Source organism: Homo sapiens, chromosome 18 (assembly GCF_000001405.40).
Source record: "Homo sapiens chromosome 18, GRCh38.p14 Primary Assembly".
Lineage (NCBI taxonomy): Eukaryota > Metazoa > Chordata > Mammalia > Primates > Hominidae > Homo > Homo sapiens.
Window position 1 is genome coordinate 37,630,026 of NC_000018.10, and position 11,561 is coordinate 37,641,586.

General features: G+C 44.5%; 1 long non-coding RNA gene across 1 annotated transcript, besides 1 other annotated feature; it reads left to right on the forward strand.

The window, feature by feature from the left end:
* The first annotated feature begins 7,178 nt into the window (after positions 1–7,178).
* LOC107985118 (uncharacterized) lies at positions 7,179–8,984 on the forward strand. The gene is made up of 2 exons (XR_001753554.1): positions 7,179–7,818; positions 8,492–8,984. It is a non-coding gene; the product is annotated as an uncharacterized LOC107985118 (long non-coding RNA).
* Positions 10,385–11,251: an enhancer, noted in NCBI's record as "OCT4-NANOG hESC enhancer chr18:35220373-35221239 (GRCh37/hg19 assembly coordinates)". NCBI's record gives its function as "activates a minimal SCP1, AML or CMV promoter by ChIP-STARR-seq in primed H9 embryonic stem cells {active_cell/tissue: H9 hESC(primed)}" and the evidence as "EXISTENCE:reporter gene assay evidence [ECO:0000049][PMID:30033119]".

Below are 11,561 nucleotides of genomic sequence, written 5' to 3' on the forward strand. Positions count from 1 at the left end.
ATCCATTCATTACTCTCTTCAACAGCAAAGAAATGGGGGTCCCAGGCATCCTGAAACTGAGAGCAAGGGAGTGGGCAAAAAAGAGGATTTGTTGAAAGTCTGCTTGAGTTGTTAGTTCTTCAGAACCCCTCCAGTACCCAGCTCCACACTGTGATAGGAAGAGGGAAGTTTAGTCTCTGGATAAATTGAACTACAGAGGTTCAAATTCTGCATCATTGGCCATAATGGGGGTGTTGGGGCTGGGTGGTGCCTTAGTGCAAATAGTGATTAAACTCATGGCTCATGTTGCTCCCACGTGGATGAGATCTGAATCGGTCATCTACATCACTGAATGCTCACTGATCCAGCATTACCTGAGTGCAGAATATCCCCACTGGGAAATTCCAGCATTATAGCACTCACAATCATGCAATCCCACGCAAGTCCCATCAGCATCATTTTGCTCTCCAGACCTCCAGGCAGAAAGTCCCTCAGGGCCTTTGCACTGGCTCTTCCCTCCTGCAGGAATGCTCTCCCCATATATTGGTATGGCTGACTCACTCCTTCACTTCAAGTTGTTGCTCAGACTTCATCTTCATAATAGGTTCTCTTCTGGTCATGCTATTAAAATTGCAACCCTCCTCCAAACAAATGGCATGAGCAATGTTTGGCACATAGTTTCCTTTGATACATTATGCTTTTGGAATGAGGTGAAATGTTTGAGCAGAGGCTGGAAGCCCCTATATTTTTCAAATTGTGGTAAAATATATATAACGTACAATTTGCCATTTTAACCATTTTTAAGTGCAAAGTTCAGTGGCATTAAGTACATTCATATTGTTGTACAACCATCACGACTGTCCATTTCTAGGGCTTTCTCATCATTCCAGACCAAAACTCTCAACCCATTAAACAATAACCCTTCATCCCCCCTTTTCCCCAGCTCCTGGCAATCACTGGTCTACATTCTATGTCTATGAATATGACTACTCCAGGTACTTCGTGTAAGTAGAGTCATCCACTATTTGTCCTTTGTGTCTGGCTTATTTCCCTTAGCATAATGTTTTCAAGGTTCATCCATGTTACAGTATGGGCCAGAATTTCCACTGTATGTAATACCACATTATATTATCCATTCATTTGTTGATGGTGGAAGGCCATGTTGATGGTGGAAGGCTCAAAGCATTAGTGTATTGGATGGCAGGTGGACTCAACCACCTGTCACGACCCTCCTGATGGATAAGAGCCACCAAGTTTTCTCTCCCACAGATTTGTGGTGACCACTTGCTAAGGCAGAGAAAACTCTGGACAATTAGAGGAAGTCCAAAAACTTTGGGTATGAAATTATTTTTCCTTCTCCAAGTACTACAGTGGAAGTTAGAAGTAGAAATAATTTAGTGAAAGCTATGAGGATGAGTTAGTTATCTACTTTATGCTTCATAAATAATGAAAAATGGACGCTATGTCTCCAAACATTATTTATATCAATTCTTCATTGGATAGGTGACTTCAGGCTAAATGCTAAAACCAAAAAACAAAACCTGAAATTAAAAAACTGTGGTCAGGAGCAATTGCAAAATCACTTCTCTAGAGAGCTCAAGGGGATTTCGACTCGATTTCTGGTACAAGGGTGCCCGAACTGCCAGTGGGCTCAGGACCCCTGAGGTTCACTCAGATGGGGCACCTTCTCCTTCCACTTTTCTTATCCTGTCTTGTTTTTTTTTGTTGTGTTTTTCACCTAATAATATACCTAGGGATAATGTTCATTTAAAGGGGACTTATATAAGGTCTTTTTGTTTTCTGTTTTGAATTTGAAACTCTCTATATAGTTTCTTCCTTCTTGGATGTGTTTGACACAGTTCTTGGCACTAAGGGTGCTCTGTAAGACAATGAAGTCATCTTCAGCACTCTCCTGGTGGCCTTCCTGGGGCCTCTCTCTGCCTCTCTGTCAGCCACCAAGGGCCTGCAGAGCATGCGAAGGTTGACCCTGCTTGCCTCTCAGGGAAGGCTTTCCCCAGGGCTCTCCCTCCCTGAAGGCAGGACAACCTGGGTGCGAGTCTGTCTGCTTCCCTGCTTTGCACCGATGTGTTGTGGAGAAGAGCATAATTTGACTGTTAACAGAAAAGCTGTGGAAAAAAAGGGAAAAACTGATGAATTATAGAGGGCGTGTTTGGAACTTGAGATGCAGGGTCCATTTCTCTGAGAACGTGGTGAGACCATGTGACCACTCCCACAACCAGCAAGGGTAGGATTTGAAGAGGAGGAAGAGTCCTGGGTTAGAGCTCCATATGTGCTCTCCCACAGAAACATGTTGGGGTCTAGGGTTCTATTAGTACCGTATTGCACTCCAGTTTCATGGGCTTCAACAGGCTTCTGTGGGCTGCCTGGGGGACCTAACTACCACGCACAACATGGTTTCTATGGGAAAATGCATTTTGAGTACTAGAAAACTGACATACACTCAAACTTTTGGAACAGAGCCTGCTCTTAAGTTGGAGACTGCTTGAATACCACATTCACAGCTAAATTATATACATAGGCCTATTTTTAAGACATATGCCTATTTCCAAGATATTCAGCTTACGTAACAATGGGAATTGGAAGAAAGAATTGATAGAAGTAGAATCATGTGCTCGATGGGGAAGAGGGGGAAGATGTGAACATTTGCTGTACAGAATACATTCATTTTTATTTGGAAGGAGAGTAGAGGACACAGAGAGAATGCCTAAAATATTCTCTAGGTTTGTGTGGTCCACCCCATGGGACCTTTCTTTAAGCCACTTCATATGCATATAGTTCTTAATTTTGAGACAAATAGTTGAATACTACAGTAACAGACAAGATTGCATTAAATTAAGAGGTCAGAGTATGACCAAGGCCTGCATTTTATAGGATCTGCCCAAGCCATGTAGCACCTCCGGTCCCTGTATCCCCTCAATCTGTGGGCTTCCAGCATGATACATGAACTCCCTGCTGCCAGATCTGGATTTCCTTGCCCCAAATGGACTTACCTTGCAGGACCCACCAGTGGTTTTGCTCTGGGCCATGTCTTGAAGACAGTTTTCTAGAATTCTCAGTTACTTAAGGCCAACACCCATATCCATTGGCCGGCAACTCAGTAATGAGTACTGAGACTAAAAATGAACCAACCTAGATTTACTTCATTTTGCTTTACTTCAAATAACTCATTTCAACTCAGTAATTTATGGAATTACATTAATTAATTTTTATTTAACTACTTTAAATCAACCTGACAACAAGTCAGCTCAGGTGAGAATTGAATTCAAAACCCCAAACACTGATTAAGCAACCCTAGTTGGCTGTTACTATGTTCTTAATTACGAAAAGTAATGAAGATGGTTCAACTGGCCTTTGGGTTGGCAGAGAGCTGTGGGATGAATATTCTCCTCCTCTCCAACTGTGTGTATTTTATTCATAGACTACCCTGGTATTCTAGATAAAAATAACTAATGTAAATGCTGTTGTTTTTCAATTGTGAATTTAGGAAACAGAATTTTAGTTCTGATTCATGCCTCATGTTTGGAATAGAGTAGCTGGTGTCTCAAGATACTAGGAAAGATATGGAGGAAAAGAGGACAGGACCAGTACCTGAATTCCTGAAGAAAGCTGACCCTTCCTCATGGTGGGCTCACCATGGAATCTGGCCTCCATTCTCCATGCTGCAGTGAGCAGGTGTCTTCCACATCCAGGAAGAAGAGACTCATGCAGAGTGTGTAGCTTCTCTATGCCTTACATTTTCATTAGCACATGCGTATTTCCCATGGAGATAACTACCCAACTCTAGAGGGATAGATCTGTCTGCTGATAGTACGGGTAGTGAGGCTAGGAGGGTGTTAGATAAGGATGTTTCATGGGGATGAAGGAGCCCCAGTAGAATGGCAAGAACTCTGGTCTGAGTTAGGAGACCTCAATTCTGTTTCCAGCTCTGTCACAAACCATCTGGGTGACCTTGTGCAGATCACTTGCTTTGTGATCTGGCAAGTGGGCTAGTTGATTGCAAACATATCTTTTAACCCTACAGTCTGAGCCTGTGGTGGTATATATTGGGGCAGGGATAAGCTGACTGTGTCCTTGCGTCCAGCTCCTGCCAGCCCCAGCAATGGACACCTGAAGCTGGTGTGCCTTCAGCCCACAGCGCTTCAGTTTCTGCATCAACCCTGACCCAGCAGGTGAGCCTTTAGGTACCTCAGCCCCATGAACCAGTGGAGACTAAAATAGATAGTATGGTTGTGACCCTAAATGCCACTATTATAATTTTTCCTTCAACACCAGCAGCCCTATCTCTGCCATCAGTACCAACATAATAGTGTATATGCCAGGCTCTGTGCTTTTCATTCACTATCTCATTTAGTCTTCCTAACAGTTCCATAGGAAGGTCTCTCCCATATTTTTCAAATGAGGAACAGACTGGATGTACAAGCCATATTGACCTGATTCCAAAACTCATTCCCTTAATCCCTTAAGTCCAATTGATGCAATCATTATGACTGGTTTTCTGTTGTTCTTTTCTACCTTGCCATCCAGTTCTTTGGAAGGGACAGAATGCTGGCTTGAAGTCCAGGCCCCTGGGTTTGGCCTTGACTCTTTGGCAAGTTTCTGTGTAGACTCTCTGAGCCTGGATTCTGTTCCTTGCCTCCCAAACTTGTGGTTTGTGTCTGGCTCTTAATGAACCAAACACCCACATCATGATGCCGTCCCCCAACCGAATTTGACAACACTTCCCATCTGGCTCACCCTGCTGTCACTTCTCATCCTCCAAGCTGTAGTTCTAGGGATCTAAGGGCTTGCTGGAGCCAGGGCTGACTTCATCACCACCCTTTAGGGCCCTTGGTCATGGACTTGAGGTTGTCCCTATAGTTCTCACAATTTCCCTAGCCCTCCTTTGGGCTTCTGTCCTCCTCCACCTCCCCTAATCCTGTGCATTCAGCATGATTTCCACCTGAGTTCAGCTGACTTGCCACATCTGGGGCCTGTGGGAAAGAATGGAGTGGGACATGGAGATCCAGCCTGGACTGGAAGGTGACCCCAGGGGTCCAACCAGCAGGAGGTGCTGTAGGGGTTACCCAGCAGTGCTCCATAAATATACCTTTTGTTTTATTCATGTGTTCCTTTCCACCATCCCTTATTTCTTTGCTTGTGGAGAGCTCTTGAGCACAGAGCCACAGGGGAGAGAGGCCTTTTCACTGAGTTGGCCCAGTCTTGTTCTGTCTCTGCTCTTTGCAGAATTTGGTTGTTTTCCATCTTAATTATGCTCCTTGCATCAGTGGCTGGCAGGCACACAACCTTTAGAGGAGTTTATCTTAAAAACCCACTCTCTCCTGAGAGAAGCAGTTCTATGGGGAACTGTGAGACTTCCAGGGATGGTTGTATATATTTGTGTGTAGGCAGTAGGGAGGTTGGTGACAGTTGCTTTCTCACTTACCATTTACCTTAGGGAGGTCGGAGCTTGCTAACACGGGCTGGGGCTACTTATGTGACCCCTAGTTTTGAGCCTCATTTAACACACAGAGCCACCACTATGGACTCAACTGGGGACAGTGATTATATTGTGAAGGGGAGCCAGGGATTGACAGTGGGTTAAATGAGTGACAGCACCATGAGTTCAGGTCACAACTATCTAACTTAATGACTAACTGTAACATATTTCTTTGGGTTAAAACTCTGGATTTCTGACTAAACGCAAATATTTTCTGGCAGAAATGACTGTTTTTAATTATCAGTCATTTATATTTTAGTATAAGTTACCTTTTAGAAGACTCAGTTACCAAGTGCATAGGTCTCCCCATATCTGGAAGAACTATTTAATTGGCCCAAATAGATAGTTTTCTTATTGAGCCTTTAATGTACTCATTTGGAATGTTTTTTGTACAACTACATACTCTGTTCTGTATAGGAAGCCCAAGAGAAGAAGAAGAACTCGTTCCTTGAGGACCTACGCTTCTCCATAGGAAACAATACAGCATGCCAGAGATAAATTATAGTTGGGAGCTAGACCGTGTGCTACAGAAGTAGCTGCACAATGATGTTGAATGAAGCAGGTACAGATGGGGCTAAGGTTAGCTCTGTGGAGGACCCAATATCTGCCCTGGATTTTCACTCTTGAAATTGCCCAGATGAGGTTGATATGATTAAATATCAGAATGAATAGTACAGAATAAATATTGCAAAAGGAGAAAATGGGTGCACTGCAGGAACTGGAGAAAACAAAAGGCTTGTGTGAAATAGAAGGAAACTGGTGGATTCTGTGATAGTGATGCAAAGAGAAAGTCCTCACTTTTCTTCCCCTACCTAGCTGTCTGACTTTATTCTTTATTAGCAATGTCCATCGCTCATTTGAATATTCTAGCTCCTGCCCAATTTCCCCACTAACTTTTCGGGAAGGTATAATGCTCTGCCTACACATAGCTTAATATATGTATTGAATAAATTAACAAATGAATCATAAATAGTATTGAACACATCTGCTAGGTTGAGCTACTTAAGGAGCTTGACTTTGATTTTCCTGGACTAAAGTTGCTTTATCCCAAATCTGAAGCTGGAAAGGAAAGGATATCCTAATAGCAAATGCTACATTTTGATCACTGGTCAATCTTCCCATTCTCTGTCTGTCTCTTGTGAGCGTTCACATGGCCTCATTCAAACTCAGTCAGCTGCAGCAATGATTCTTCCATTTACATGGCTAGATGCTGTGAGACAACCAAGCCAAAAAGATGCCACCCTTGCCCTCTAAGAACATAAAATTAGTAGTTAATTTTATATTATGAAAAGTGAGGAATTTCCTCAGGAAAAGAGGAATTTAGATCTAGCCTATAATAAAATTAGTCACCCAACAGGCATTCAACTCTGATTTCTTTATACGTGTCAATGCCGGGGCTCCTCGTTAGATTATATTCTCTTGGGGGGTGAATCAGCTGAGAAAGAGGACTAGATATTTCTAACCTGCTCTTAATACCCTCTGTGGCCATGGGCTCCTCCATCTGGCAGAGAATGTGCTCTTCACTATAACGCAGATACCACGATCTCTGTGTTAGGGATGCAATGGGCCCAACCTTACTATCTCCCAAAGCCCTGGCAGGTGACTGAATGTGCAGTCCACAGCTTATAAAAGGCCGGATCAGTGGGTCCATAGGCTCTAGAGATCAGTTTCTCATTCTGGAGATCCCCTTGGTGTCCATCCATATCCTGGATCAGGAGTCCTGTTTCACAGCTCAGTTCCCAGACATGTAAGAGGATTCTGGGACTGGGACCAACACTATGATGCTTTTCTAATCTGTTCTTCTCTCCACTGTCTTTCCTGTCTCCACCCAACCAGGAAAGCAGAATATTTAAACTTCTGCCAAACTCCCAAGAAGCTGACTTTGCAATGTGCAGTGTCATTCCTCAGGTTGTTTCCCGCCCATCAAATGCCAGTGGCCTGGATTGACCGTTGCCACTGTGCCTGGAGAGCCCAGGAAATACACTATGGTGATGAAAACGACTGTGGCAATCCAGCAGTCTGCTCTAACTGGATGATTGTAAGAGGGTAAAGAAGATAGTGCTGAACTTTGTGATGGTTTTATATTCCAGTAAACACCCAGTAAGACAACATTGGAGGCAGCAGGGCCCATATGGGTATTGGAGAAGCAACGGACAAAGTCAGACCCAGCCCAGTGGATGAGGGCAGGGTCTCACTAGTGTTGGTCTCACCAGTGTTGAGTAGAAGATGCCCGGAGTGAGTGAGACAACTTCCAGGACTAGAACTGTGCGTGGAGTCCAAACCAGGAGAGTTGGAGGAAAGAGGGCAGCTGAACATCATCTTTGTGGATGGAATCTTGCCAGGTGAGCCTTTCCCAGTCATGCTATGGTGCTGATAAAATGTGGGAACAACACAGATTTGGTCTCAAGTTCCATTTGTTGGGGTACAGTAGCTCTCTTTTGAGCTAGATTCCAGCTTTCTCTTATCGCAGGGTTAGCACCTAAGGTTTGGGGCCAGGGCTGGTTCTGCTCGACCACAACTCTTCCCTTGTGTACACCATACCAGACTGCTTCCTGTCCAGGGTCAGGCCCCAGCACAGCTCTGTGCATTCACTGTCCACCCAGCTGCCCCATTTGTCTCTTACAGTGAGCCCCAGCCACCTGCTGCAGCCCTGCCTCATTGCCTCTGTGTGATTCTCCCTGAAGCCCCCACAATGCAGGACAGCATCACAGGGAGCTTAGATTAGTTGCTGATTGTTCTGTGGGTGACTCTGATTTCCTCATTTTGCTGGTATTTGGCTCCTTTTGTATTTTTTCACATTGAGATCACAGGGCTGGGCCATGGTAGGTCCTCTGTCCTTTCCTTCCCATCATACTCATCCCTCGCCTCCCCGAAATTTCTCATGACAGTTGAGGGTGAGGAGGGAAATGGGGATAATGTACTTTTTCTGTCTTGCAGTAGAGCTAAGAAGCACCCCATCCTAGGAGGGACTGAGCTGACTTTATTTCTCTTTATCTTCCTCTTTCCTTCATCAAGTAACTAATGAATGCTTCAGTAGCTCTACTGGATCTTGGGACAATCTGGTAAACAGACAAGATACTTTCTTGGAGCTTGGAAGGGAATATATTAAAACTGATAAACAAATACATAAAATGATCACAAACTGCTAAAAGAACTATGAAGGAAACAAAGAGTGCTAACAAAGAACTAGGAAGCGTTGGAGAACACAGTTGAGAATGAATGGTTAAGAAAGCCAAGACTCGAAGAATGAGATGGAGCCAGCCAGGTTCAGAACATAGCAGAGCAATGCGTAACAGAGAGCAATGCACAGCATGTGCGAAGGTCCTGAGTCAGAAAAGTGTTGGCTTATTGAAGGAAATAAAGGCATCTGTATGGTTGGAGAATGGGCAAGGTGGAAACAAGTTACAGAAGAGGGGCTTATTGTGGGAACTGTATTAGTTAGCTTTTGCTACAAAACAAACAACCCCAAAACTTAGTGCTTAAAACAATAGTGATTTATTATATCTCATGATTCTGTGGGTTTCTTCTCATCTGGTCTTGCTTGGATAGGGCTGGATGATCTATAATGATCTCACTTACATGTCTAGGGCCTCAGCTAAAATGGCAAGCATGGTGGGAATGGCTGGGCCTCTCTTGGGGTCTCTTGTCATTCTATAGAAAGCTCAGGCTTGTTTAGATGATGGTTGGAGGATTCCCAGCAGCAAGAGAAGGCAAACTCCATTGAGTAAGAGTGTTTCAAGCCTGTTTGTGTTACATTGGCTAATGTTCCATTGGCCAAAGCAAGTCACATGGCCAAGTCCTGAAGTGAAGTCCAGAAAAATCTACCTCGTGATGGCAGCATCTAATAATATTAATGCCCCATTTTTCAGTATAATCTCAGGAATGAAAACAGAAGCTCTGTTTATTAATTGGGTACTCGCTCCAAGCTGGGGGTTCATTCAGTTTCCTTCCTTCCCTTTCCTTCCTTCCTTCTTCCTCTTCTTCCTTCTCCTCCTCCTCCTTCTAAAAATTATCTATTATGTGTCAGGCATTGTCTCAGACCTGCTGCTGAGAAACACTCAGACCTTGCTCTCAGACAGTTCACATTATAGTGAGGGAGATACAAACAGAGCCATTTGCAGTTCTGGGTGGCCAACAGCCAACGAGTGTGCAAGATGTAATGATGGAGACAGAAGAGGGTGACTGACTCAACAAGGAAGTCAGAGAAAAAATGTCCCGGAGGAAGTGATGCTTGAACTGAATCCTGAAGAATAAGATGGTGAGGAAGGGGCAGCAGAAGGTGAGCAAGAGAGCCACCTGAGGCCAGCAACAATTGGATATCAGGCTCAAAAATGTGAGATTGGAGCTTTGTCAACCTCTCTTGCTCTGAGCCAGTTGTGGGGTCAGGGCTGGGCTTGAACACATAGTGGCAGTGACAATCAGAATCCAGGGACCCCAGCAATAGGGATGAGGAGAGATGGGACTGGGTCTAGCAGTGGCTGCAGACAGTCCCAATGTCTGTGTCGCACCCTACACCCAGGCTCTCTGCAGCTTGTGCCATGACTCTCCCTTCAGACTGGGAATTCCTGAGTCATACAGTCAATGCTGGCCAATGGCCTTAGCAAAGCCCCGGGATCTCTTTACTGGAAATGGTTTCACAATTTTCCCATACAGATGGTGTCCTGAAGGGACAACTGAGTGTGAGTGTATCATTCGCTGCATTTTTCATATGTAGGGGATAGGGGAGGGGAGAGAGAGAGAAAATATCAGGAAATGTGTATATTTATCCTAGCCTGGCCTTAAGAAAACACAGCTACCAATCCATCAAAAATGAATTTGAGTTTGGATAACATTAGTGTTTAAGGTGATGCTCTTCTCTTGTATTGATTCTCTGTGGGTTGAAATGGAAACAATTTTAGAAATGTAGTCTTAGGTTTCCTTAATCTGCATGGCTCAGGGAGGAAAAGCCTGTTGTCACTCGTGCTAATAACCACAAGAAACACAGTTCTAAAGTGCTTAGCTGGAAAATGAATTCCAGAAGCCATCCCTGGTCCTGATTCCAGGGAATTTGTTTCCTAAAAATTCAGCCCTTTTCTTTCCTTCAAGAGAGTTTCCTTATAAGGTATGGCCATTTGTGAAGGAGAAACTAACATGCAGAGTTGAGGATTCCCAGAAAGGGAAGAGTCAGCATGAGGTAGGGTCTTAATTGCTCAGTGATGGGGTGACAGCAGGGGGTTGCTTGTGCAACTGACTTTGGGAGCCCAAGGGAGACCTCAGCCTCCCACCATTCAAAATAAGTATCTGCTTGAAGTTTTATTATGATATACTTTTATTTTAGGTCAAGATATTGGGGTTACCTCTTCAAATGTGTATGAAGTTTGGCTGTCTTAGCAAGAACTAGGCATCATTAGCATTAATTGCTTCTCAGGGTCCTGAGGTGGAGGATCAGTTGGGTAGACAGCAGGGGAGGCAGAAAAACTCGTAGCATGGGGCACTGCAAGTGGAAGAGAGACAAGGGTGGAGCCAGTGAGAGACAGAGAGAACTCATGGGGTGTCTGGGTTTGGTGTCTAAAAGGCAGAGGTGAGGATGGCTACCCCCAAAAGGGAGCACTGGTCCTGCTAAAGAAAGGCATGTCTGTTTGTAATTTGGGCTGAGCTTCCTAAGGACCCAGCATTTGAGGCCTTGTGCCTCAACCCTTTTCGTCAAAGAGGGAAAGGTAGTGAGGTCACAATCGCTTTTGCCTTTAGAGAACTTGAGCAATGAGGTGGTACCTGATTGAGAACGGAAGCCAACCACCTTCTTTCTCAGCCTGCTATGTGGTCTTTTTGCCTCTGGCAATTAATAAAGCCCTTGTGGGTTTTTGCATAAATATGGGCTGTATTTGCATAAAATGTAGGCACAGTTTGCAGTGTCCCCTGGGGGAGCAATACATCCTGTGGCCTATTCCCTGTTTGTCACCTGAGGTTTGTCACTTTGTATGTCTTTTCCCTCACATCCACCCACTTGTCCTGACCTAGATCTGGGAGACCGGAGCATGAAAGGAGGTTGAAGGGTGAGGATGAGTGGCCCTGTCTTCTGGGCTACCAAGATGGGTCCGCATCCTGC